Genomic DNA, 27,138 nt, shown 5'->3' on the forward strand with positions numbered 1-27,138 from the left:
ACTTTTAGTAGTCTGTGCAGGATATTATGCCAAACTCCCAATTAGTTTCTGTGGCTGTGTATATTTATTTGATAGGCTAAATATATCAGAAATTACATCATCCAGATCAAAGACACTTGGGAAAACTTTAATATTGAGTAAAGTTTGCTATGTCATGCTTGTTATAGGTGTTTTGTGAATGATTTTTTTATTATTAGGTGAAGGAAATTTTTTTCTATTTTTACTTTGTAGGACATTTTTAAGAAATGGATGTTGGGTTATGTTAAGTACTTTTCTACATCTATAGAGATGATCATATTTTTAAAAAGTTTTTTAGTCTGTCAAGGTAGAGAGTAATATTGGCAAGTTTTCAAATCTTAAATCAACCTTACATTCTTGGTTTACATCACATCCTTGTATATATATTGGCCATGATATATTATCTTGTTTATATGTTGTTGAATTTAATTTGCTAAAATTTTGTTGCAATTTTTATATCCTAGTTAATGAGGGACATCGTGCTATAGTTTTATTTTCTTATAATACCTTTGTTTGCCTTTGGTATCAGGGTTATAATGGTAACCGCATAGAATAACTTGGGAAGTACTCTTTCTCTTTTCAATTTTGGGGAAGCAATTGAATTATTTCTTCCATAACTATTTATATAAATCCCCCTCAAAAACCATCTGAAGTTAGAATTTTCTCTGTGAACAACTGTTTAAACTACAACTACAATTTATTTAATAAATATTGGGCTATTCGGGTTATCTTTTTCTTCCTGAATGAGCTTTGGTAGTTTGCGGCTTTTGAGGAATTTGTTTATTTCATCTAAGCTATCAAATTTATTGGCATAAATTTGCTTATAATATTTTCATGTTACCCTTTTAAGATTCATAGAATCTATAGTGGTGTCCCTTCTCTCATTCCTGATATTTATGTTCTGTTCCATTTAAGTAAGAGGAAATTATTCCATAAGAATCTCTTAATTTACAATAACTTCAAAATGAAATTTAACAGCATATGTGGCTCAAAGTGCAAGAATTTGCAGCTGGAATCATGGCTGAGGAGAGTGAAGACAGAACACGGAGTATCATAACTTAGAGCACAGATCCAGTGAAAACTTTATTTTCCCTCAGAAATTTTACCAGTGAAATTTTTCCTAGGCAAATTAGAAAAGCTCATGTAGGAGGGACAAAAAGCAGAGTGATAATCTTGATAATAAATTTTGTTCAAAAATATTCAAGATCCTTTAATCAAGAAACACTAATGGCCTGTGACTGTGTGTGTGTGTGTGTGTGTGTGTACTTTTAATAAATTTTGCTGCATAAAACTATAAAGCCAAACAAAATGAATTATTTTGATCCTGGCATTTAGTGTCTTTGTTCTATATAGATCACAATTCTGTGTCACCAATAGTACATCTCTCTACTTTTACATGAGAGTAGGAATAATATTTCTGTACAAAATTGAGATTGCAAATCAACTTGTATTCTAAATTCATGTGAGAGGTATACATTAGAGTACAACAGAGTAAGATAAATACCTGGCATTCACTGGGGCTGGAGTTAGAGATCAGCACATAGCCCAACAGCATTTGATTGAATGAAAAGCTTTACTGAGCTTCAAGTCTACAATAAACTGTGATATTGTGTTCACTGATCATCAGTGGGTAGCTTACAGAAAAATGATGATAGTAAAATTATCACTTGTGCTTTAACATGGAGTATAATTATACTATAAACAAGGAATTTAAACAGAGCTAGGGCATTAAATAAACTTTTTTCCCCTTGCCTCATGTGGGGAGACACTGCCCAGAATTTTTTATGTGTCACTGAAGTATTGTTACAAATGGGATTTTAAAAAATAAAATGCTTTTGGACATGCAAAATGATTAATAGAGATTAACTCTGTTTAACTCTGTACAGTGAACATTAGCATACAATTATCTATTTGAGCCCCTGCTTTCAATGTTTTGGGTATATAAATAGGAGTGGAGTTTCTGGGGCATAGGGTAATTTTATGTTTAGGTTTCTGATGAACCGCCCAACTATTTTCCACAATGGTTGCATTATCTTACATTCTCATGAGATGGAGCACTGCTGTGCTAGGGAATGGTTGGGGAGAGGGTACGTACAACACAATGCTTTGTTATCATTTGGTTCCAACAGTTTCTGCTTGTTTTTCATTGTTTCTATGGGGAACGAGAAATTGGAGCAGCCCATGCTTCCACTTTGCTGATGTCACTGTCAAATTCCTTGGTTTACTTGATACATTTAAAACTCCTTTTCTTCACCTAGGGTGATTTAACTACTTTGCCCTCTCTGTTTTCTTGCTACAGCTTTCGTACTGCTACATATTATTCATTTAATCAGGTATTTAATTTCCTTTTGATTGTGAACTCCTTGGGGCCAAAGATTGTATCTTACTCTTCCTCTTTACAGTTTCTTGATATTTGTTTAAATGATTTTTTTAAAATTTATTTGTTTATTTAAAGAAAGGATCTTGCTCTGTCATTCAGGCTGGTGTGAAGTGGCATGATCATAGCTCACTGTAACCTCAAACTCCTGGCTTCAAGTGATCCTCCCTCCTTGGCCTCTCAAAGTGCTTAAATTATAGGCTGCTTAATTGAATTAGTTATACTTCTCTTGTTATTTGTGAAAAAAATGAATTGAACTAAAATATTTGGGAACAAATAGAAACTGTTTTAGATGGAAATAGTTCTATTTAGCTCCATTCTAAACTGTAGTCCAAGGAAAGAAAATGAGATCACATTAGGAAAGTCATGTTTTAAGCTTTAAAGCATTAACAGATCCTTGCTCAGGAGAGGCAGCTTGGTTGTCAAGGGAAGAAAACTAAGTTTGCTTTTAGGATACTTGGGAAACTATAAACCCATACAATTGCACCTGCCAATTAAAAAAAAATTAAAATAAAGTAAAACCACTGGTTCTACTCTTGTCTTCAAAAGTCCATGACCTCTGGCCTTCAAGTGTGTTTGTTTGTTTATTTTAACTTTAAAATTAAGAGATTACACTAGAAATCCCTTGGTTATATAGCATAAAAAGACACGTGGGGGAAATGATATACCATAAAAAGACGTGGGAAAAATATTAACTACATCATAATCTGATACAAAGTGAAAATTTTATTTGCACATAGTATTATTTAAAACATGAATAATATATATATCTTATAGAAGACTGTCTAAAGATCATAGGTAAACTTGTGCTGAAATGCAGCTAAGTGTATTTTTAATAATTTTTAAGTGTATAATTTGGTGGCATTAAGTGTAATTGTGTCATAGGTACATAGATAATTGTGTCTAAGTGTCACTGTATCATTGGTATGTAGATAATTGTGTCTCCTTAATTATCAAGGATTCTTTCCTTTTGCTAAATTGGATTTTATTTGTACTTGGTGCTCATTTCCCACAAATTTTCCTTTATCTCAGAAATGGTCAAATATTAGTTCAATTATTTCCTGTGAAATTAGCCCTGAGAGCAGGTAGAGGTTCCAGAAAATTGGAAATCAGTGGTTTAATTCCTCTAGGTCATGTAACTTCCCTGCAGCCGTGTGAAAGACTGAGGGTTTAAAATTGATCAGACAAACAAATGAACAAGCAAACACACTTTGAACTATGCCTTTCCAGTGAATTCCCTACTAGCCCTGAAGAATAACTACAATACATTTTCATTTCAAAAGATTCTCTTGGTTGCCATAACTTTGACATTTGTTACTCAGTATATAAAATATATTTTATTATTCCCCTATTAAAACATGAAAATTAATATGTCACTATCTCCAGCTAGAGTTTCCTCATTTGCAAATTGGAAGGTTTGGCTATATCATTTCCATGATCCTATTTATATTTAATGTACTATAACTATCATTTTAATTTGCTGTTTTACTCATTTTAGATTATTATTAATTATAACATATCTATCAAATTTCACAGAATTCTAATGAGATATTTTATATGAAAGCACTTTGATTAGTTATACTAAAAAGGTACGGTTATACTTTTCATTTTAAGAAGTTCGAAGTAGAGTAAAACACAAGATCAAGAGACTCAATTTGAACCCGACATGCCCATTTCATGATTTACTTGAAAGTAGATGTGGTGAATTTGGGTCAGGTAGGATACATGTGTGTTTATTTGTAAACATGTATGTTTACAGTGTTTTAAACATATGAAGATTTTGCACACATATCTAGATTTTTAAAAATATGGCAACTTTCAACTTATATTTAGTGAAAATCAGCTGAAGCGGGGGACCAACTGCTTTTTGGTGGGACTCTCACTGACTAGTTTCCCAGAGTTTGCATCATTCTCTACTGAGACCTAAAATCACTCTACCTGGTATCCTGTCTGCTGCAGAATTCTAAGCATGCAAGCCTTGTTTTAAAGATATTAACCTGGATTAGAGAAACGTGGACAGCTCGCCATATCCTATTCCTTTCACCTATATACGATAGAAAAGATAAAATATTTCAAAACTACCTTTTAAATATTTGTATTTGCTGCTCAAAAATCGAAACACCATATTAATATTGAAGGATAAATAACTAAATATAGAGATGTGTTCTATTGCCACTTGTGCATATCTGTGTGTATATTGATGTGTATGGATGTGGATACAGAATGCTGGTAAAAGGTTGAAAGATGAAAAAGAATGAAATCTTAACATGGTAAGAAGTTCTTTATCCAAATCTCCTGATGGCTTCTGAAGACAGGAATTTGGCATTTGCTCATACATTTCTGTTACTAACACAATGTACAAAGAGCTATATTGTAGAAGGTGCTCCTTTTTGGAAAAATGATGAGTCTTATTGTGTGACTGAAATTAATTTTTTTCTTTTTTTCAATGTATCTGCTTAAAACAGTTACAGAATTGCTTATGCAATCAAGATGCTGATGGTTTGTTAGCTTTCAAAAGATAAACTGTGTTTGAAATAACTATTTCCCAATTATGTTATTGAAGTTGAGCACATTTTAGTTCCTCCTACTCTTTCCATTTTTCTCTTAATTAAAGATATGCCTACTTCCTTTTACAAATCTATATTGAGTAGTCTGTGAATACAAACTGTGAACATTAACTCTTTGATTCTTTCCTAGTGGAACACTAGGAAATCAGGAATCAGAAATATCCTGTAAGAACACTAGGAAATCAGGAATCAGAAATATCCTGTAAGAATAATCAAAGGTCTCACTGTGAACAGAATTATTTTAAGTTGTTCAAGCTACGTAATCAACTTTAACAGTTGATTATATTTATGAGAACTTATATTTCATTTAAGATCCGCATGTTCATATGGACGGTTAAGAACAATATTGATAAGTCCACAATTCATGCATTGCATAGTTTCTTATTTTTATATATTTTAAATGCATTCTAAATACTAAAGACATATTCGTCACCCAAGTAGATGCAAGATTATCCTTCCGAGCATAATAAAAGCACAAAAAAGTATTTTGAGAAATGTATTTTAAATCAATGAATTTTTCTTTTTTTCAGAAGACAGGTTTCATGGGCATAGAAATTCTATCATCTCCCCTGTCATTTCATCTCCAATGCCTGGCACATAGTATTTGCTTAAAAAGTATATTTGTAGGCCGGGCGTGGTGGCTCACGCCTGTAATCCCAGCACTTTGGGAGGCCGAGGCGGGTGGATCACGAGGTCAGGAGATCGAGACCATCCTGGCTAACACAGTGAAACCCCGTCTCTACTAAAAATACAAACAATTAGCCCGGCGTGGTGGTGGGCGCCTGTAGTCCCAGCTACTCGGGAGGCTGAGGCAGGAGAATGGCGTGAACCCGGGAGGCGGAACTTACAGTGAGCCGGGATTGTGCCACTGCACTCCGGCCTGGGCAACAGAGCGAGACTCTGTCTCAAAATATATATATATATTTGTAAACACTTGTTAATATGAAACCAGTCAATATATAAAAGCATGTTCCTTTTTTTTTTCCTTTTCATATGTCCTTGTATAGCTGGAGATTTTTTAAAAGCCAATTTAATACATTTCCATTTGAAATCGCAAACTGAGAAAACATAACCAATTTATATGTCAAAAAGTAAATATAGCATAATATAGAGAGAATTTTTATGAATTAATTGAATGAAAAGATGCAAGTGAGTAATAAACATGACAAAACAGGTCTGAAAAAAGATAGATAACTATGTTATGCCGTACTGGGTGACCTTCTAGTTAGGCATGTGTAAAGCTCCATCTTTTATAAGACCTTATTAATTCTTCCTTTGAGAATATAGATTGTTAAAACACAGAAGTTTGGACTTCAATTGCAAAATAGAATAACTTCTTTATTTGAACTTCCAGAGAGTGTAACTTGCAATTTCTTGCCAGTTAATATGTATCACAATCTGGCTGGTGAGCAATAATATATATGGAGGATTTTCTGATTGATAATCTATCCTGTCTATTGATACTCTCTTTTTCTTTGATTAAACAATAAATTTATGCCATTCATCTATTCAACAAATATTTCTTACTAAATATTTATTAAATACTAAGCATTTACTAAAGGAATAGTAAATGTTACATACTGAAAGTAAAACAGGTAAATCAAGCTTAACTGTTTTGAGAGTATTGAGACACATAATTGAGCAAATTTTGGGTTTTAATGAAAAAACATACACTCAATTAAATGAAACTAAAATACGTGCTCAGCTAAAACAAACTGGTGTTTCAGGTAAAATTTCTTGGGAAGTATGTCATCTAAAGAAGTAGATCGCCAAAGAATGACAGAGAAAAGTGTTTGAGAAAAGGAAACAATATCAACAAAGGTCTGGAGTGAAATATGTTTGACAAACTGAAAATTCAGCATTTTTTCACAATTTTATTTGTAACTAGAAATCATTTATTACACGAGTATTATAGGCATATCTTGTTTTATTCTGTGCCACTTTATTGTGCTTCACAGATATTAAGGGTTTTTTTTTTTTTTTTTCTGAGGTGGAGTTTCACTCTTGTTGCCCAGGCTGGAGTGCAATGGCACGATCTCGGCTCACTGGAACCTCCGCCTCCTGGGTTCAAGTGATTCTCCTGCCTCAGCCTCCCAAGTAGCTGGGATTACAGGCACGTGCCACCACACTCAGCTAATTTTTGTGTTTTTAGTAGAGATGGGGTTTTGTCATGTTGGGCAGGCTGGTCTCGAACTCCTAACCTCAGGTGATTCACCCGCCTTGGCCTCCCAAAGTGCTGGGATTACAGTCGTGAGCCATCATGCACGGCTTTTTTTGTTCTTTTCTTTTTTTTTTTTTCCACAAATTGTGGGTTCGCGGAAACCCTAAGTCAGGCATGTCTATCATCACCGTTTTTCCAGCAGTACGTGCTCACTTTGTGTCTCTGTGTGACATTGTGATAATTCTCACAATAATGTAAACTTTTTCATTATTGTTATATCTGTTATGGTGATCTTTCATATTACACTTGTAACTGTTTTGGGGTGCTATGAACCATGCCCATATAAGATGGCAAACGTAATTGATGAATGTTGTATGTGGTCGGTTTTTTTGTTTGTTTGTTTGTTGTTTTGAGGCAGAGTCTTGCTCTGTTGCCCAGACTCCTGGGGTACAGTGGCATGATCTCAGTTTACTGCAACCTCCACCTCCCTGGTTCAACTGATTCTCCTGCCTCAGCCTCCTGAGTAGGTGGGATTACAGGTGTGTGCCAGCACACCTAGCTAATTTTTTCATATTTTTAGTAGAGACAGGGTTTCACCATATTGGCCAGACTGGTCTCGAATTCCTGACTTCAAGTGATCCATCCACCTCAGCCTCCCACCCAGGCGTGAACCACCGTGCCTGGCCAAATGTTGCATGTGTTCTTACTGCTCCACTTTTCAGTACCCCCATAATTGTCCCTCTCCTTGGGCCTCCATATTCCCTGAGACACAACAATGTTGAAATTAGGTGAATTAATAACCCTACAATGGCATTTAAGAGTTCAAGTGAAAAAAAAAAAAAAGCTAGGCGCCTCTCACTTTAAATCAAAAGCTTGAAATGATTAAGTTTTGTGTGGAACTAAGACAGACTGAAAGCTAAGTCTCTTGTACCAAACAGCCAAGTTTCGAATGCAAAGGGAAAGTTCTTGAAGGAAATTAGAAGCGCTACTCGAGTGAACATACAAATGATTAGAAAGCAATACAGCCTTATTGCTGATATGGAGAAGGTTTTAGTGAACATTCAGAGGAGTTTGGAAGAAGTCGCTGACAATCTTCATGGATGACTTTGAGGGATTCAAGACTTCAGTGGAAGAACTAACTGCATATGTGGTAGAAATGGCAGGAGAACTAGAGTTCGAAGTGGAGCTGGAAGATGTGACTGAATTGCTGCCATATTATAATAAAACTTGAATGAATAAGGAATTGCTTCTTATGGATGAGCAAAGAAAATGGTTTCTTGAAATGGAATCTACCCCTGGTAAAGATGCTGTGAACATTGTTGAAATGACAACAAAATATTATAATATCACATAAACTGAGTTGATAAAGCAGCAACATGGTTTGAGTGGATTGACTCCAATTTTGAAAGAAGTTCTTCTGTGGGTAAAATGCTGTCAACCAGTATCACATGCTGCAGATAAATCTTTTGTGAAAGGAATAGACAATTGATGCAACAAACTTTATTGTTTTCTTCTTTAAAGAAATTGCTGGCCGGGCATGGTGGCTCACACCTGTAATCCCAGCACTTTCGGAGGCCAGCGTGGGCAGATCACCTGAGGTCAGGAATTCGAAACCAGCCTGGCCAACATGGCCAAATCCCGTCTCTACTAAAAATACAAAAATTAGCTGGGTGTGACAGGCCGGGCGTGGTGGCTCACACCTGTAATCCCAGCACTTTGGGAGGCCAAGGTGGGCGGATCACGAGGTCAGGAGATGGAGACCATCCTGGCTAACATGGTGAAACCCCGTCTCTACTAAAAATACAAAAAAATTAGCCGGGCATGGTGGCAGGAGCCTGTAGTCCCACCTACTCGGGAGGCTGAGGCAGGAGAATGGCTTGAACCTGGGAGGCAGAGCTGGCAGTGAGCCGAGATCGCGCCACTGCACTCCAGCCTGGGAGACAGAGCAAGACTCCATCTCAACAACAACAACAACAACAACAACAACAACAACAAAAATAAAATAAAATAAATTAGCTGGGTGTGGTGGTGCATGCCTGTAGTCCCAGCTATTTGGGAGGCTGAGGAAGGAGAATAATTTGAACCCAGGGAACGGAGGTTGCAGTGAGCCAAGATCACACCACTGCACTCCAACCTGGGTGACAGAGAGAGACTCTGTCTCAAAAAAAAAAAAAAAAAAGAAAAGAAACTGCCACAGCCACCCCAGTGTTCAACAATCATGTCTTGATTAGTCAGCAGCCATTAACATCAAGGCAAGACCTTCCACCAGCAAAAGATGATGACTTGCTGAAGCTCAGATAATTTTCATACTTCAGATATTGAATTTTTAATCCTAGAGCTCCATTTTTTTCTTTAATTTCTATCTCTATCCCCAAATTACCTGTCTTTACCCATTATATCTACAATTTCCTGTACATTCTTTAAAATATATACTATTATTATTTAAATATCTCATGGCAATTCTAAGATCTAAATTATCTAATACTTTATTTTTACTGACTATATTTTTTATTTAGAATACAATTTCCTGTTTATTCGTGCCGAATAATATTTGACTTCATATTAAACAATGTGCATGGTACTTTAAATAGAGTTTGGACCCATGATCTCTCTGTGAAGAGCACAGAGTTTGTTTTAGTAAGGAGTAAAATTAGTGGTGGATCACCTTCATTTTGTAGAATTTTTAAGCATTATCAATACCATACATGTATGCTTAATCCAGGAACGTGATGCTTACTTCTAGCTTTGGGTTCTTCTTTGTTTTCAGTGAAAGGCCTACTGTGTTTATTAGATCTCCTTAACTTAGTGGGATTTGATCTCAAACTTTATCACCCAAATGCTAGATAACTACCAAAATCTGCTCAGTTCTTGCAGCCTTCATGGTGAGTTTTGATGGAGTTTTGGGGGTCTTCCCACTGTGTTTTCAGTTCAGCATCAGCTGAGAATATTAAAAGAATATGTGGATTTTAGGATTTCTCTCCTTGCAGTTTTTTCTTTTCCTTAAAATCAGCATACATTTTCTGCCTCATGGAAGTCTTGAGCTCTGATCTTTCACAACTTAGGCCAGCAGAACTTCTGTTTTCTGCTTGTGCCTTATCTCCCATGCAGTACACAAACTAAAGCATGCCCCAGGATAAAAGCTGGATTTATACAGATCTCACCGAATTTATTTCTTTTTTCATAAGGTTGTTTCCTCACAAGGTTCTGTCCACTTTCGGCTGTTCTCTAATGCCTTCCAACAGTTTCATTTTTAAAAATATTGCTTTCCTAGACTTTATAAATATTTTTGGCAAGAGGGTTTGTGTGATACATGTTACTCTTCCTTCACTGAAATCCATCTGTGGGTAACGGGCTAAGAAAAACTTTTCCTTTCTGCATGATAATATGAGCTTTAGTTAGGTTTCTAGATCTCTTTCCCTAGAAACCTAAAATGGAAGAACATGTTATTAACAACATTGGTTAAAATTAAAATGATCACAGATTGGCAAATAGCATTTATACTGAGAGAGACTCTAAGTGAACAACAAGTGACTTACTGCAGCACTATACTGTTGGGCTTCCCTAAGGGTGATGATTCTTGTAACTGGGCGTGTGCTCCCAGGACCCCCATAAGTTATGCCTATGGGTTGTTACAATAAATTGTTTCCTGTGGAGAATGAGACTTTTAAGCCAGGCTGCCTCTTGAACTTGACAAATGTGAGTTTTTCTCACTTCGGAACTATCTCTGTGGGGCTGTGTGGACTGCTGTATGGATTGCTGTGAGGTCCACTCTTCTTGATAGAGAATGCTCAACACTGCCCACCCGAGAAGCTGCATGTCCTGTCCTGAATCCTCTTAAGTGAATCTGATGCCAACTAGACCCATTCTTTTTTGTGAATGAATGTGAAACTGAACCTAAAAAGATCTCCAGGTCTGCATTGCACCCATTCTCCTATACTGTTTTAAAATTGATTTTAAATGCTTGTGTATGACCATATACAGCATTTGAAATTGTGAAGATCAGAATCCTAAAATTATTATGTGTGTTTTAAATTTGAAAGCTATTTTCATTTTTATCTTTTTGTTTTGTTTTCACTACACATAGTGAAAACAAATAAATAATTGCTATAGTCATCCAAATGTGGCATTTATATAGGATTTTTAGATGAATATCTCTTTAGATAAGTGCCATATTCTTCACTATAAAATGTCATATTAAACATGCCCCTGTTCTATGAGAATATTTATGTGGAGAGTATTTATATAGATGCAAACATAACATGACTTCTATTTTTTCTAAGAAATAATTTTAGGAAAAAAATCTCTCTTATGCTTTGATATAAATACACTTCTATTTATTTCTTGGCATAATTAGAAAGTGTTTATTTTTTCCAGGAAATGAGAGGTTTATTAAAAGATAATCACATTATTCACTAAAAAGAATATATATTTGACTTTTCAAAAGTAAATTTAAAAATTCCTTTTATACATCTATAAACATCTGTGGAAACTTCAACTCCATTTTCTGTTCTATAGTCTCTGGCATACACCACAAATATGAAATAGCTTCACTCAAATGTACATTTTAATCTGCAATCTAAAATATTAATGTACAAAGACAAGGTGGAAGGTTAGTTACAGTGACTTTGTTTCAGACTTCTGATAATACGAAAATGTGCAGACATTAAACTCATTTATAGTTTGTATTCATAATTAAGATTGTAAGAATTTTATTTAACTCTCTTCAGTGTTTTTCCTGATATGGAGAGGTTTGGGTCATACTATATCTTTAGACACATGTGAGCTTCTGGGGCTGAATGGAAAATAAACTTGCTTGCTTAGAGTAGGAGGATGGGCAGGCAAAAAGAAGTTACAGCAATTTCTATTGGCTTACCAATGCTATTCATATATTGTTTTTATTATCTAGTTGGTTTGGGGTGAGTGGATGCTAGAGCACCTAGAAAAGGTCAGCTAATATAGTAAGTGACAACTGTTATTTTAAAAATTGTGTTGTGAAAATAGTCTAACTGTATTGATCATTCAGCTGCAGCGATGGCCATCCAGTGGACCATAAAGAAAAGTGTGTCATATTAAGGGGCGAGGCTTTAGATTTGGGCAGCATTGGTATTGGACAGAGCACTTCATTAAGTATTTGAAAAGAGAATGTTTTCATGGGAAGAGATTTTGTGTCTAGTGATGTTTTGAGTTAGTCATGCGATGTGATTTTCTCAGACAGTGATGCTACATGCAGTATTAAGTATTGAGGCAATGATAAAGACAAATCGGCCATAATCCTCACCACTGAGTGGTTTGCTATTGAAGGAGATACATGCACAAATGAACAAGGCATTTTTAGAGCACAACTGTGGAGTTGATTACTTCTACTTAATAGGAAGTCTTCTGAGAGGAGGTGGAATCCAGGGTTTATTAATGAAAGATCAGGCAAATAATTCACATGAATTCTAAGCATCATTCCAAGATATACCTGAAAATCTCATACAGCTGTTACTGAGAAGAAAATCTTTTACAACAGACAACACTTTTAACCCCCATAAAGATCTTTGTAAAGAAAGAAACTCCTTCAGGTATTCATTTTTTCAGCAAATATTTGGTCAACTAATATGTGCCAGGGACTACTATAAGTGTTGGAGATTTAGTGGAGAACATGGTAAGCACTCTGTCCTCATGCAACTTATATTCTAATGGGAGAGACAGGTGATAATTGGCAAGAAAAAAATGAATCATGATAAAATTCCAGATTCTGATGAATAAAATGAGTAAGAGAAGGCAGGGTAAATAGTTGAGGTCTACTTTAGCTAGAATAATCAGGGAACCCCCTTGGAAGAGAAGTCATTTGTAAATGAGCCTGAATCAGATGAGGAGACAGTCAAGTGAGGTCATGGGAAAGAGTGTTCCAAGTAGTGTGAACAACACATTTAAGGGTGTACTTACACTGCCTGACTTTCTACTTTTGTGCTGATAGTTTTGAACTTTTAACTTTGGAATCAATTAACCTTAAAACTTTAGATACTTCTTCTAAAAAGTTTTTTCCTAAGGCTTCTTTTCTTTTGGACTGGCAGCTCTTATACAAACAAAGTCATTTCTCTTTTGCACTAATTATCCTCTGTCTCTTAATCACTGACTAATTACCTCTATTTGAAACAGATTTTTTCAGTGTTCATGAAGAAGTCAGTGGGAGTGCTGTATGAATTAAATGTGCTGTTTCTTAGAGCATAACATAGCAACAGAAGAATTCAAGAAATGTCTGGCTTTCTTTTGTCCAAACTCAGCTATTTTGACAATTTTGCATATTATTATTCATTTCTGACTGATTCCACATTGAAACCACTAGAATAATTACATTAAAATAATTCACCTTATTTTGAAGCATGAATTTAATATTGTTTTTAAACCTAAAGGTGGTTATCTGTGATTTTCACAAGTTAGAGAACCAACAAGCTAGGAAATAAGAGATCATATCTATATTATAGGAAAATAAATGGGACTTTGTGAAAGTGTTTTTTTTTCTTATTAGAGGGAGGAATTGAACATTGAAAGTTATACTTTTCAATAATTATATTGTTTATATTTAATCATAGATTTTTTAAAATGTTCGAAGTAAATATGTGAATGTTTTAGATAAACAGATACTTAGCCTATAAATAATTAAAATATGTATCTGTAAGGACTGCTATTCTAACAAAATATTAAATCAAATATAAGTAAGACACATAGCCATAGTCCTAATCATAAAATTATGAAACCAAAATGTATGAGTGGGAAAATATATGGAATCATCTAATAAAAATGTTTTCAATATAATGATTTCTTTACCTAATTTTCTCCTACCTTACCAGTCCGAAAAGACATTTTGGATTCCTCAAAGTGTCTAGGTCAGATCAAGGCTGAAATTCTAATAGGTTGATCTGTGCGGTTATTTAATACCATCCATAAATCCTTTGTGTGTTCAAGGAGACAGGCTAACAATACTACTTCAGAAACTGAAAACTGCTTAAATTAGATGGGAGGTTCAGGAGTTGTTAGAACAGCTACCCTGTTACATTCCCAGAAGTCTTATAGGATGTTTCCTGAACATTGTTCACATTGGCAATTCATTTGTAAAAATATGTTTTGTTTGTTTTATAGAGGTGGGGTCTCACTATGTTGCCCAGGCTGGTCTCGAACTTCTGAGCTCAAGCCATCCACCTGTCTCAGTGTCCCAAAGTGCAGGAATTACAGATGTGAGCCACTGTGCCTGGCCAAAATCTCTTTTTGATGGAAGAGAAATCTCAGAGGAGAGCCCTGGTAAGAGAGGCAATTGGAATTTAAAAGCCAATTGCCTCAAGTAAGGAAAACAGTATGACAGACTGGGTCAGGCTCAGCATCATTGCGTGGAAGGTGCTGTCAACACAGGGCAAGAAATTGTGCTCAACTATGCCCTCCCTGGCCACTCCAGTAATCACATGATTGAATATGCTCTTGTGCAAGCTGTAAGCCATTTCTATTTTGGGGAAAGGAGAAGTTTCAAGTATAGAGGAACACATTCTGTCATTAAAAGCTCTGCCTGTTGGAAACGCTATTGGCACTAAACAATAGAAAAATTAGACGAACAAGAAATGAATTAGTCTCAAACAATAAGGAGTCTAGAGTTACATAGTCCAAGACTAATGCAATGGCTCATTGATATGTTTAGGAAGCCAGGATCTTTCCATCTTTTTTGTACTTCATCCTAAGAATATATAATTTTGTTTTTATGCTTTTGGTCTCATGGTAGCAACAAGACCATTGTACCTCCTGAATCTCATCTAATTTCAAACAAAAAGAATGAAGAAGAGAAAAAAAGCTGAAGGCTGAATTCTTTCCTGAAAGCTCCACCCACTGGGGATGGATTGCAATTTTCTTGTAATCTTTCTTTCCTTAAAGCTCCACCCATTGGAAATTTCAAAGTACATCTATAGGCTCTGAACAGGGTCATTTGGTCACAGGAACACCCTTAGCGATAAAGGAGTATTTGGTGTTCAGTTTAGTTGTGTATTTTCCTGTTCTGTTATTAAGGAAAAAATTGAGAAAGGATTTTGGATAAGCATTGAGTGATATTTTTTGAAATGTGACCAGAAGCTCTACAGTTCTACAGTTCTTTGACAAAGCCAACTTGAGACACAGAAGGAAAGGCATTCCCCCACTGACTGAAGAGAGGTGTATTCAGGCTCAATGCTTTAGAGGAGTCATCAGCAGTATAGGTAATGGCAGTGGCCCAAGGGTTGTGATGATTAGCAGAGGTCCAGAGGTCCCAGACTGCAGTCAGACCAGAGATTGACCTTGGGTAATACAGTGACAATGAACAGTAGAGTCAAAAGGGGGCGTTGACAGTGGACATCAGGGCAGAGAGACAGCAAAGTGGAAGCTAATAACTCATTGGATGCGTGATCTTCTTCCATACTCACTCAGGTGTTCCAGAATAAAATCATGCTAACTCAGGTTTCAGAGACTTGTGGGGGTGTAGAGTGAACATTCTCTTTTTTGAGAATTTTTAAGAATATCTTAAGAAGTAGATTCTAGGCAAACACTTGTCTTTTAGCTAGTTGAGTGAAAGAAGGCTTGATGTGCTGATATCTGAGGTATTGCTAGAAATGTGGCATATTTGTATTAATTTACAGGTTGATCCTAGGACATTCTATTTCATATAAAATAATAAATTATTTTATTAATTTAACAACTTTGTGTTTTGTTACTTTGCCTTTAATCTTTCATCAGTAATTTTTCCTTCATATCAAAGATGCTGATATTTTTCATATATAACAGTTATATTCCTAGCGAAGTAAACAAAACTAATATAATTAAAAAGAGATAAAGAGCCAAGCTCACTACTGTTACCATTAGCTAATATTTGTTGAGCAATTACCATATTCTCTGTATCTTGATAAACACTTTATATGTATTTTTATTTGATCCTTGGAACAACCCTGAGAAGTGTGTTTTATTAGTAACATTGCTTTACAGAGGTAAAAACTTAAGTTTTGAGAGACTAAGTAATATGCCACAGCTATGACTCTGCCAAAATATGGACTTTGTATTTGAACCTAGGCATTCTGGTCCTGGTTAACTGCCTCCTAATATGGATGGTTAGCAATATGACTGTAAGTAAGACTTTTCTCCTACCGCTAATACCAGTGCCACATCTCCAGCAATTTGTAGCACAGGGCTGTTTGATTCTATTTCTTTGCAATTCTCTAACTCAGAGTCATTACTAGGCTCTCCATAAGCATAGCATTTTATTTTCTCCTCAACAGCTTATTACTGCTATTTAAAATTTTTATTAACTTGGTTAACACAACATCAAGCCATACCATTTCCTATATTTGACTTACTGGTGTTTACAGCCAGGATAATTACTCAGAAGCAATATGGCTGGATTAAAAATATTTTGCTGAGTTTGAAAGTCAGTGTTTCATGTATAATATATACACTGTAACAGTATCTTTTAAAATAATTTTTTGCTTCGATTGCTACTGAGTTATGAGGGTTTTCTTCATTTTCTTTTTATTAAAAAATAACTTGAACAAATATAAGGAGGACATTAAGTACTGCCTCAATGTAACTGTTATTGGCATGTTGGTTTTAGGACTTTTTTAAATATATGGAAGGGATGGGCATTTCATGCATAATAATGTAATACAAAAAATCAGAGTTTCATTATTGGGACTTGATGTATGTATCTTTTGTCTGAAATCCCTATTTCTTCCTAGGCCTAAGTCACACACAGAGGCAGTTTTGTGAAATGCATTGTGCTTATGATATATGTGAAGCAGCTAGCACAGTGGATGAGCTAGCAAGTGCTGGGGAGAGAGATCGCCTTCCTTTAATGACTGTTCAGCTTTTAATGGTGGTGTCACCTTGGACAAGTTTTGTAACCTCTTGTGTCTTCAACTGAGTTATTTGTAAAATAGGGATAAAAATAGTAACTACCGAAAGGGTTATTGCAAAAGTTAAATTATTTAATCAATGTAGGACATTTGGAGGAATGTTAGGTACAAAAGCTATGCAATAAATTCTACCTATTATTATACCAAGAAAACCCAATTTTGATCTTATAAAAACGGTTAACCTTTCTGCCTGTTGGGCCTTCCTGAGTGCATATCATAAATCAGGAAGAAATGATAGCCTTCGTGCTCCATACTGGCCTGTATTTCACCATGTATCCTTATGTTTTTCTTCAACTTAATTATTTAGGTAGAATGATACTTATAATCCAAAGTTCTCAAGATCTTGCCTGATATGTGCTTGGATTGCATTACAATAAAAGCATAATGTGTTGAATCAAGATAAAGAAAAAGGTCTCTCAAAGGCAAATTAGATGAAGAGAGTTCAAGAATCTTGACTACAATCCTTAGGTATGGTTCACCTAATCTAAATATCCATCTTGGAGGAATTCTTTAAGCTGTTACTTTCTGAGATAAAAAGATTGGATCCACACTCTGGAAAGTTAATATTGTATTGTGACTATGATTACAAGTGACAGAAGTCAATATAAGCTAAGCTGAAGGAAAAAAATAAATTATGTAGCATTGTTTGTTATATGAATATATCATCTTGCAGAACCAAAATTTGGCAGGAATGTACCTGGTCCTCACCAGAGACTACTAGGAGGAAGCAGGCAGCTTTCAGGAATTTAAGACACTCTCTCTCTTACTCTCAACTTGTGTTCTGCCCATCTACATCAGCTTAATTCTCCTTCCTCAGCAGACCAGCTTTCTCTGGATCGCTGGTCTGCTGGTGGGAGGACCCACAACAGAGAGGATAGATGATTACCCATGGTTTACAAATTTGCACACTATGTTCTGTACACATAGTGTAACTGTAATTCTGTCTCTTACCTTAATTCCAGGTTCCCAGATGAAGCATTCTGATTGGCACAGCTTGGTCAGAAGCCCACTGAGGAGGTCAAGGGACAGGGCCATAGTAGAGAGAAAAAAAAGTTAAGGCAGTTGTTTCAAATTAAATGAATGGCTCAACAAATTATATAAAAGTGATCTACTACACATATGCAAAACATTATAAAAATTTACCACCAGGTTTTGATACAATAATCTAATGGACCTTCTCATGATGGAATGGTGGAATATTTTAGCTTAAAAGAGCTAAGAAAATATCTTGAGTCAGTCTGGATTTTTTGACATTATTCAAGCTTTGCTTATTTCCTGTTTGCCTTGGGCTCCTCTTATTTTTTGCTGGGTTTTTTTTTTTTTTTTACATCAGGGCTCCTATGGTACAATTTGCAGGAAATTAATATTTTTTGTATACATGTTTGTTCAAATTTATTTTAAATACCATGTCTTTATCAACAATAATGCTATGGAGATTTTGCTCTAATCAAATTGACAAAATGCCCACCAGTAGTTACTTATCTGTAATATTTACAGCTCTCTCCAACTTCTTAATGTCATTCTGAATTCCTGATTTAAACAAAATCTATTTGTATGACTCCGCTTCTTCCGCCTGTATCTTGACTCTTAATGTTCTTTGGCAGCTCTTTCTGAATTGAGCCTATGCTTCTACTAAAGGAAAAGTATTTGAAAATGTTTTGAGAAAAAGAACAGCTGCTCTTTCGTGTCTGTAGCAGTCAGGATACAGGCGAGAAGGAGATGACACACTCAAACTAGGTAACTGAAGGCAAATAAAGGTATTATTTACACTGGAAGATGACAACCAGGAATGGTGCAGCATCTGATGGCAAAGAGGGTCAATATCACTTACAGGCTTGAAGTCAAAAGAGGAAGGAAGAGTTAGTGGAACCTGGAGAGAAAGCTCTATGAAGACCCCAGTGACCTGAGAGGAAGGGAGCCAGGGAATAAACAGAACTTTGCTCCCCTCCTGCACTATGATCTTCTGCTAGCACTATGATTTGATCCAATGGAACCCAGGTGGCAGGTGAGTCAGTTGATGCAGTTCATAGAGGCTGACGTTTGTTCAGGGGACAAAACAGTGGAGAAGGGGCAAAGGATCTGGAGGAGCAAGTGAAATATTTCCAGTCCAGGATTGAAATGTAAAACCACGTGCACTCTTTTCCTTGTCATTTCTTCCCCCACAATATCTAAATTGTCAGAAACAGAAATCATGTTGTATTTAATACGTTACCTACACAAACAGATATTAGCCTCATTTGATAAGTTTTATATACTACAAATGGTAATTATTACTTGATTATGTTGACTTTAGGCATCTGAATCTTCACATCTGAATGTAGATACATTACCTGGAAAGATCCTTTAACTTTAGGATACATGCAGTTGGCAAAACATGATGCTAAACCCACATTGTGTGCTCTTTGATAGGCACATAGTGTCATAACTTTGTGTCTCTAAAGTGAGGGCTCTGTGAATGGTCTCTTCTGCTTCAGCCCTGATTTTGCTCAGTCAACATTCTTTGATGAGGTAATAGCAGGATCATTGATAATATTCTTTTTTTAAAAAAATTTTATTATACTTTAAGTTTTAGGGTACACGTGCACAATGTGCAGGTTTGTTACATATGTATACATGTGCCATGTTGGTGTGCTGCACCCATTAACTCGTCATTTAGCATTAGGTATATCTCCTAATGCTATCCCTCCCCCCTCCCCCCACCCCACAACAGTCCCCTGAGTGTGATGTTCCCCTTCCTGTGTCCATGTGTTTTCACTGTTCAATTCCCACCTATGAGTGAAAACATTGATAATATTCTTGCTTCTCCCTAGTGGGAAGATTCAGTTTCTTTTTGGAGTTTAAGCTGAAAACAAATCTACATTACGCAGCACCATGAAACTTTTTGTGTAGTGTAGAAGGGTGTTGCTATTTAATCAATTCAAGCCCATAGTGTTTCTATATAATGCTATGAAATATCCATCCCCTGCTCTCTCCATCTTAACCAATTAAGGAGTTCACCGGAGGTCCTATTTAATCAGTTATGCTGAACACTATCGGAGCTATGCAAGCTCTTGCAACAGAGCATAAATTCAGGTAGGCAAGGAGATGCATTTTCAGGAGTGTTCTGGTGTTTATTTCTTTGGTTTATTATGGGTCACGACCTGCAGTTATGACCATATTATCACAATAAGAATAATTTCAGGGGCCCCAACAGGGGGGTAGATAGTTGGGAATCTCCAGGAATTATGAATAGCATATTCTATTCTGCAGTCTTCTGTTATTTTGTTATTAATTGGTGGTTACTGACTTCCTATTGTTAGAAGAAACTCATGCTATATGCTGGTCTTGTTCTCTTAAGAAGAAAGTGAGTGGACTCTTCATCATAAGATCACAGTTCCATTTTTCATGAGCTGCTGGCTACATAAATTATTTTGGGATGTTTCCCATGACAGGCACATTTAGTGAATTAATCACATACAAAGGAAAGAAGTAACCTGCAATATTTTTCATAGATATGTAAGATAAAACAGAGAGAAGGTACGGAGATTTCTCCTGTACTCTGTGCCCCCATACATGTCCAGTCTTTGCTATTCGTTACATCCCTCACCAGAATAGTACATTTGCTACAATCGATGAACCTACACTGACTCATCATTATTATCCAAAGTCCATAGTTTACCTTAGGGTTCATTGTTGATGGTGTGTATTCTATGGATTTGGATAGATGTATCGTTTTATATATATATGTATGATAAATACGTAATATATAATATAACATATTAATAATATATAATATATGTATTATAATACATACCATGATATTATTTAGAGTAGGTTTACTGCCCTAAAAACTCTCTGTGCTCCACCTGTGCATTCTCTCACCCCCAATCAGCTGGCAATCACTAATCTTTTTACTCTTTCCATAGTTGTTGCCTTTTCCAGAACGTTACATAGTTGGGGTCATACATACTTTTCACACACAAAACACAAAAAACACTAATCAAAAATTGAAACATTCTTACATTGGACTTCACCACCACCGAGAGCAACCCCTTTCTGATTTCTATCAGTCTGTATTTCTTTTTGTTTTAAATATATATGTAAGTTAATTATATGGTATATATTGTCTAGTGTCTGGCTTTTTTTGTTTAAATGTCTATGAAATTTATCTGTATTATCATGTGGCATGCATCTGCCACAACATCTTTTGATACATTCTCCTATTGATGGACATTTGAGTTATTTCCAGTTTGAAGCTATTGTGCCCATATTTATTTGTTTGTTAGTATTTTTGCTGTTGAATTGCAAGAATTATTAATATATTCAGTATACAACTGCTTTTTCAGACATATGTAAAGAGAATATTTTTCCCACTATGTAGTTTTTACATATTGTTTTAATGTGGTTTCTTGAGAAAAAGAGTTTTTAAAGTGAAGTCAAATGTATAGATTGTAAAAATTTTTGATTAGTGTTTTTGTATTTGTTCAAATAAATCTTTAGGTCAGAATACTTTATTTTCCTCATAGTCCATAAAGCTTGTGGTGAGTTACAGTATTTTATTTGCTATCAGTTATTTATTTCTTCTGTCTTTTTTGTAATATGATAAATCTCTCTAGAGGTCTATGAATTCTATTAGGTTTATCAAAAACACTACTATTACTTCCATTGATTTTTCTCCATTATTTATCTATTTCTTTGAGTAATGAAATAATTCACTTCTATCTTTATTACTTCCTTTCTCCTACTGACTTTGGTTTTAATTTGCTTTTCTCTAGTTTCTTAGGGTGGGAGTTTAGATGGTAAATTTTTACCTCTTTTGTGGTTTCCAAGTATCTGAACTATAAGTATTTTCAAGCTATATATGTTCCTTTAAGAAATATGTTCACTGTGTTCTCCACATTTTGTTGCATTTTATAATTCTTCAATTAATATGTTTTCCAATTTCTCACATGAATTCTTCTTTTATCCATGAGTTATTTGGAAGGCTGTGCTTTATTTTCCAAATAGTTGGAATGTCTACATATCTTATTGTTATTGATATCTAATTTAATACAGTTGTGATCAGAGAATATACTCTCTATGATTTCAATTTTTTGATAATTATTGATACCTTTTATAGCTGAATATATACTTTACTTCGGAAAATATTTATGAGCACTTGAAAGAAGTATGCATTATGCAGTTAGTGGTGTGTAGTGATCTGCAAAGACAATTAGGTCTTTTAGGGCTAACTCTTCTTTATTTGTACCGATTTTAAAAAATCAATTTCTCCTATCCATTACTGAAAGATATGTGCTATAATCTCTAACTATAAATGTAGAGTTTTCTACTTCTTTTAATTCAGTCAATTCTTGTATATTTTGAATTTCTGTTAGGGCATAGACATTTAGTCTTGCCATTTGTTCTTGATAGATTAATTCTAGTGTTATTATATGACACATCTTTCCATGTCTATGTCTTTAAGTCTATTTTGTCTTACATTAATGTAGCTAAGCCAGTTTTCTTCTACTTAATCTTTGTATTGCATAGGTTTTTCTGCCTTAATTTTTTAACGCATCAATGTCTAAATTCAAAGTGTCCTTATTTTAAAACATGCTTTCTAATACTTCAAGCACACTTTAAACACACAGTTGGCTACTCTTAGATTTTAATTGAAAAGTTTGCTCCATTTACATTCAGTATAATAATTAATGTATTGGGTTCAAGTCTCCCAACTTGGTATTGATTGCATATTTATCGTATTTGTTTTGTTCATCTGTTCAGGTATTCTGTTATTTTCTTCGGTAAATTAAATATTATGAATATATTACTTTATATTCTATATTGATATTTTAACTAAACTTCTTTGTGTTATTTTTTCAGTAGTTGCTTCTGTCTTTAAGTTAGAGCATTAAATATTATTATACTACTGAATAGACATTTTAGAAACTTAGGGTAGCATGATTTTATTTACTCTCTTGCTCTATTCCTTCTTACAGAATTGGAGACCCACCTAGTGCTATTTTTTTCTTCAGACTAAGATTTTTTTGTTTTGTTTCGTTTTGTTTTAGTATTTCTTTAGTACAGGTATATGAAGATGCATTCTCTCAACTTTTTTCATTCTAAGGTTGTCTTTATGTTGCTTTAATTTTTGAAAGATATATTCAATGGATGTAACATTTTAGATTGAAACTTTCTTTTCTCTAGCATTTTGAAGATTTATTTGTATTGCCTTGCCTTCTTGCCTCCATTATTTTAGTTAAGAAAGTCATCATGCATAATACTTTGCCCTTGTGGATAGTGTGCCATTGTCCTCTGGGTGCTTTTAATGTTTACATTTTATCTTTGGTTTTTGGTGTTTTCATTATAATGTGCTTAGGTGTGCTTTTGTTTGTTGCTGTTTTTGGTGGGGCGTGTGGGGTCGCTATGTTACCCAGGCTGGAGTGCAGTGGCTTTTCACACCTGTGATCATAGCCACTGCATCCTCAAACTCCTGGCCTCAAGTGATTCTCCCATGTCAGCCTTTCCAGTAAAGTGTAGTTTTCTTTTTATTTGCTCTGATTGAGGTTAAATAAGATTCTTGGATTTGAGGATTATCAGTGTTTTTAAGTTGGGAATTAGCTCTTCAAATATTTCTGCCACACCCTCTTTTTAATTTAGGTATTTTAATTAAAATGTTAGATTATTTGAATTTGTACTACAAATCTCAAATCTGTATTTGGTACAACAAAAAAATAGATGACAATGGAGACTAAGATACATTATTTTTACCTTTAGAAAGTCAGACTGCTAAACTGGGAGCAAAAAAAAAAAGATGATCTGTAGTTTGCTGGTTTTTTGAAGTTTAAGTTTGATTTATTTCAACACTGGCTTCAAATGTTTTGAAAATGGGATCAGGACTTTCTGATACAGGCTTTAGGTTCTAAGCACTGCTGTGATTTCAGAGATCTGCTTGTGCTTCACAGAAAAACTGCCAATTTTTGGAACTGTGGGGTATCTCTCCATGCATTGTAACTCAGCATCCAGGTTTTTTATTTGCTGAGATGTTCTCTTTGCTCTCCCATCTTGTTCCCTATGTTCCATGCCTCAGACTTCTCTTTAGCACTGTTGTGACTTCGTCTAAATTGAGCAGGTAGTGGCCCTGTAGCTTGTAAAAGCCTCGAATGCCTTTGTCTTGGCTCACATCCCCTAACCTCTCAGTCTTTGTAGTTGAAAGCCTGAATTTTTTCAAGGAGTTTCACTCTTACCTGCTGTGGGCCTCCCAAAATTGAGTGCTCAGAATGCCTTTAATGAATATTCTTGAACTCTCCTCTCCTGTAACCCCTTGCTTCTGAGGGGTGCTTGTGCTTGGTGGAACCTCCATGTACTCTGGAGGAGTGTCTCTTGGTTATCAATCTTAGCCCTCATTTTTAAAAACAGTTTTACTGACATATGAGTGAAATGTATGTGACATACACTAAAACAAACATCTTTAAAGTATGTAATTTGGTAAGCTTTGATATATGTATACAGTACCACAACCATCACCATCACTACCACCACCAAGACAATGAACATTCTGTTACTCCCAACAGTTTCCTTGTACCCCTTGGTATTTCCTACCTTGTGCCTTTTCTTTCTCCACTATCCCTGTGTCCAAACAACTACTGATCTACTGTTTTTATGCATCACTATAGATTAGCTTATATTTTGTAAAAATTTATGTACATGAAATTACACAATATGTACTCTTTTTATTTCATGGAATCTGGCCTCTCACTCAATAAAATTGTTTTAAGATTTATTCATGTTATTCCATATATAAATAGTATTTTAATTTTAATTGTGATTAGTATTCATTTTATCCATTAAGCTGCTGCTAGACATTCTGTTTTTTTCCAGCTTTTGGTTACCACAATAAATCTGCTCTGAATATTTTTTTCTAGACATACTGTCATTTTATTGGGTGTATATATAGGACTGGAATGTCTGAGTCATTTGGTGTGTGCATGTTTACCTTTTTAGGAAAGTTCTAAATTATTTTCCAAATTGGTTGTACCATTACATTTCTACCGTCAGTGTATGAGAGTCCCTGTTCCTTCACATCCCCAACAACATGTTGTATTGTTGGTCTTTTTAATTTTAGTTAATCTAATGGTTAGTTAAGGTAGTTATATCTCATTGTGGTTTCAATTTGCATTTCTCAGAAGACTAATGATGTTGAACATATTTTCACATGCTTATTTGCTACCTTTTTATTTTACTTGGTAATTTATCTTTTGTACATTTTATTATTGTACTGTTCATTTCTTTTTTTTTTTTTTTTTTTGGGACGGAGTCTTGCTCTGTCGCCCAGGCTGGAGTGCAGTGGCGTGATCTTGGCTCACTGCAAGCTCTGCCTCCTGGGTTCACGCCATTCTCCTGCCTCAGCCTCCCGAGTAGCTGGGACTACAGGCTCCTGCCACCATGCCTGGCTAATTTTTTGTATTTTTTAGTAGAGACGGGGTTTCACCGTGTTAGCCATGATGATCTCGATCTCCTGACCTCGTGATCCGCCTGCCTCGGCTGTGGTGTTCATTTCTTATTGCTAGGTTTTGAGAGTCATATATTCTGAAAAACAGTAATTTAGCAGGTAAGTGATTTGAAAACATTTTCTTCAGATGTATGCCTTATTTTTTTATTTTCTTAAGAGTGTATAGCAAAGACTTGGAACCAACCCAAATGTCCAACAATGATAGACTGGATTAAGAAAATGTGGCACATATACACCATGGAATACTATTCAGCCATAAAAAATGATGAGTTCATGTCCTTTGTAGGGACATGGATGAAATTGGAAATCATCATTCTCAGTAAACTATCGCAAGAACAAAAAACCAAACACCGCATATTCTCACTCATAGGTGGGAATTGAACGATGAGATCACATGGACACAGGAAGGGGAATATCACACTCTGGGGACTGTGGTGGGGTGGGGGGAAGGGGGAGGGATAGCATTGGGAGATATACCTAATGCTAGATGACGAGTTAGTGGGTGCAGCGCACCAGCATGGCACATGTATACATATGTAACTAACCTGCACAATGTGCACATGTACCCTAAAACTTAAAGTATAATAATAAAAAAATAAAAATAAAAAAATTTTAAAAAAAAGAGCAGAAGTTCTTAGTTTTGATGAAGTTCAATGCTTCTGTTTTTTTCTTTATGGATTGTACTTTTCTTGTCATATACAAGACATCTTGACTTATCCTAACGTCACAATGATTTTCTTATTTTCTTTTAGAAATTTTATAGTTTGGGGCACTACATTTAGATTGATGATTGATTTTTAATTAACTTTTGTGTCTGGCATGAGATGTGCATTAAAATTTATATTTTAAGAAGGATATTTAATTCTTCCGCTACCATATGTTGAAAAGACAACCCTTTCACCCTTCGGTTGCCTTCATACCTATATCGAAGATTATTTGACCATATATGCATGGATCTATCATGGGGCTCTCTATTCTGTTCCATTTATTTACTTCTCTACTTTTAGACCAAACCACACTGAGTTGATTACTGTAGCTTAATAAAATCTTGAAATTGAGTGATTTAAGTCTTCCAACTTTGTTTTTTTGGTTTGGTTTTCTTGAAAGGCTGTTTTGGCTATTCAGATATCTTGGCATTTCCATATGAATTTTAGAATTAGCTTCTTAATTCTGAGAAAAAAACAAATAAACAAAAAACCCTATGAGAATGTTGAATGGCATTTCATTGTAATCATTTTTTGGAGAACTACATCTAAGCAACATTGAGCATTATGATCCATGAATACATTATCGCACTCATTTTCTTTAAGTCTCCTTTAATTTTTCTTGGAAATATTCCCTAATTTTCAGTATACAAGTCTTGCAAATTGTATCAGATTTAACTTTATATATTATTTCTTTATTTGTTTACATTATTTTTATTTAATTGTGGCCCTACTGTAAATGGTAATATTTTCCACATTTTATTTCCAATTGTTGATTGTCAGTATACACACATATAGTTGATTTTCATATTTTTATCTTACGTCTTCCCAGCTTGCAAAACTCACTGAATATTTTGTATAGCTTTTTTTTGTAGATTCTTAAGAGTTTTCTAAGCATGATAATGTTGTATGACAATAAATTTGGTTTTTACTTCTTTG

At 35.0% G+C, this 27,138-nt stretch overlaps 1 long non-coding RNA gene across 5 annotated transcripts in view, besides 1 other annotated feature; it reads left to right on the forward strand.

Moving 5' to 3' along the window:
- Window positions 1-27,138, forward strand: part of LOC124902439 (uncharacterized) — an 820,351-nt gene that overhangs the window by 761,978 nt on the left and 31,235 nt on the right. The gene's annotated exons all lie outside the window — the stretch shown is intronic.
- Window positions 10,132-10,332: a silencer, noted in NCBI's record as "peak972 fragment used in MPRA reporter construct". NCBI's record gives its function as "represses an SCP1 promoter by STARR-seq MPRAs in K562 erythroleukemia cells {active_cell/tissue: K562}" and the evidence as "EXISTENCE:reporter gene assay evidence [ECO:0000049][PMID:32103011]".

Source organism: Homo sapiens, chromosome 10 (assembly GCF_000001405.40).
Source record: "Homo sapiens chromosome 10, GRCh38.p14 Primary Assembly".
Classification (NCBI taxonomy): domain Eukaryota; kingdom Metazoa; phylum Chordata; class Mammalia; order Primates; family Hominidae; genus Homo; species Homo sapiens.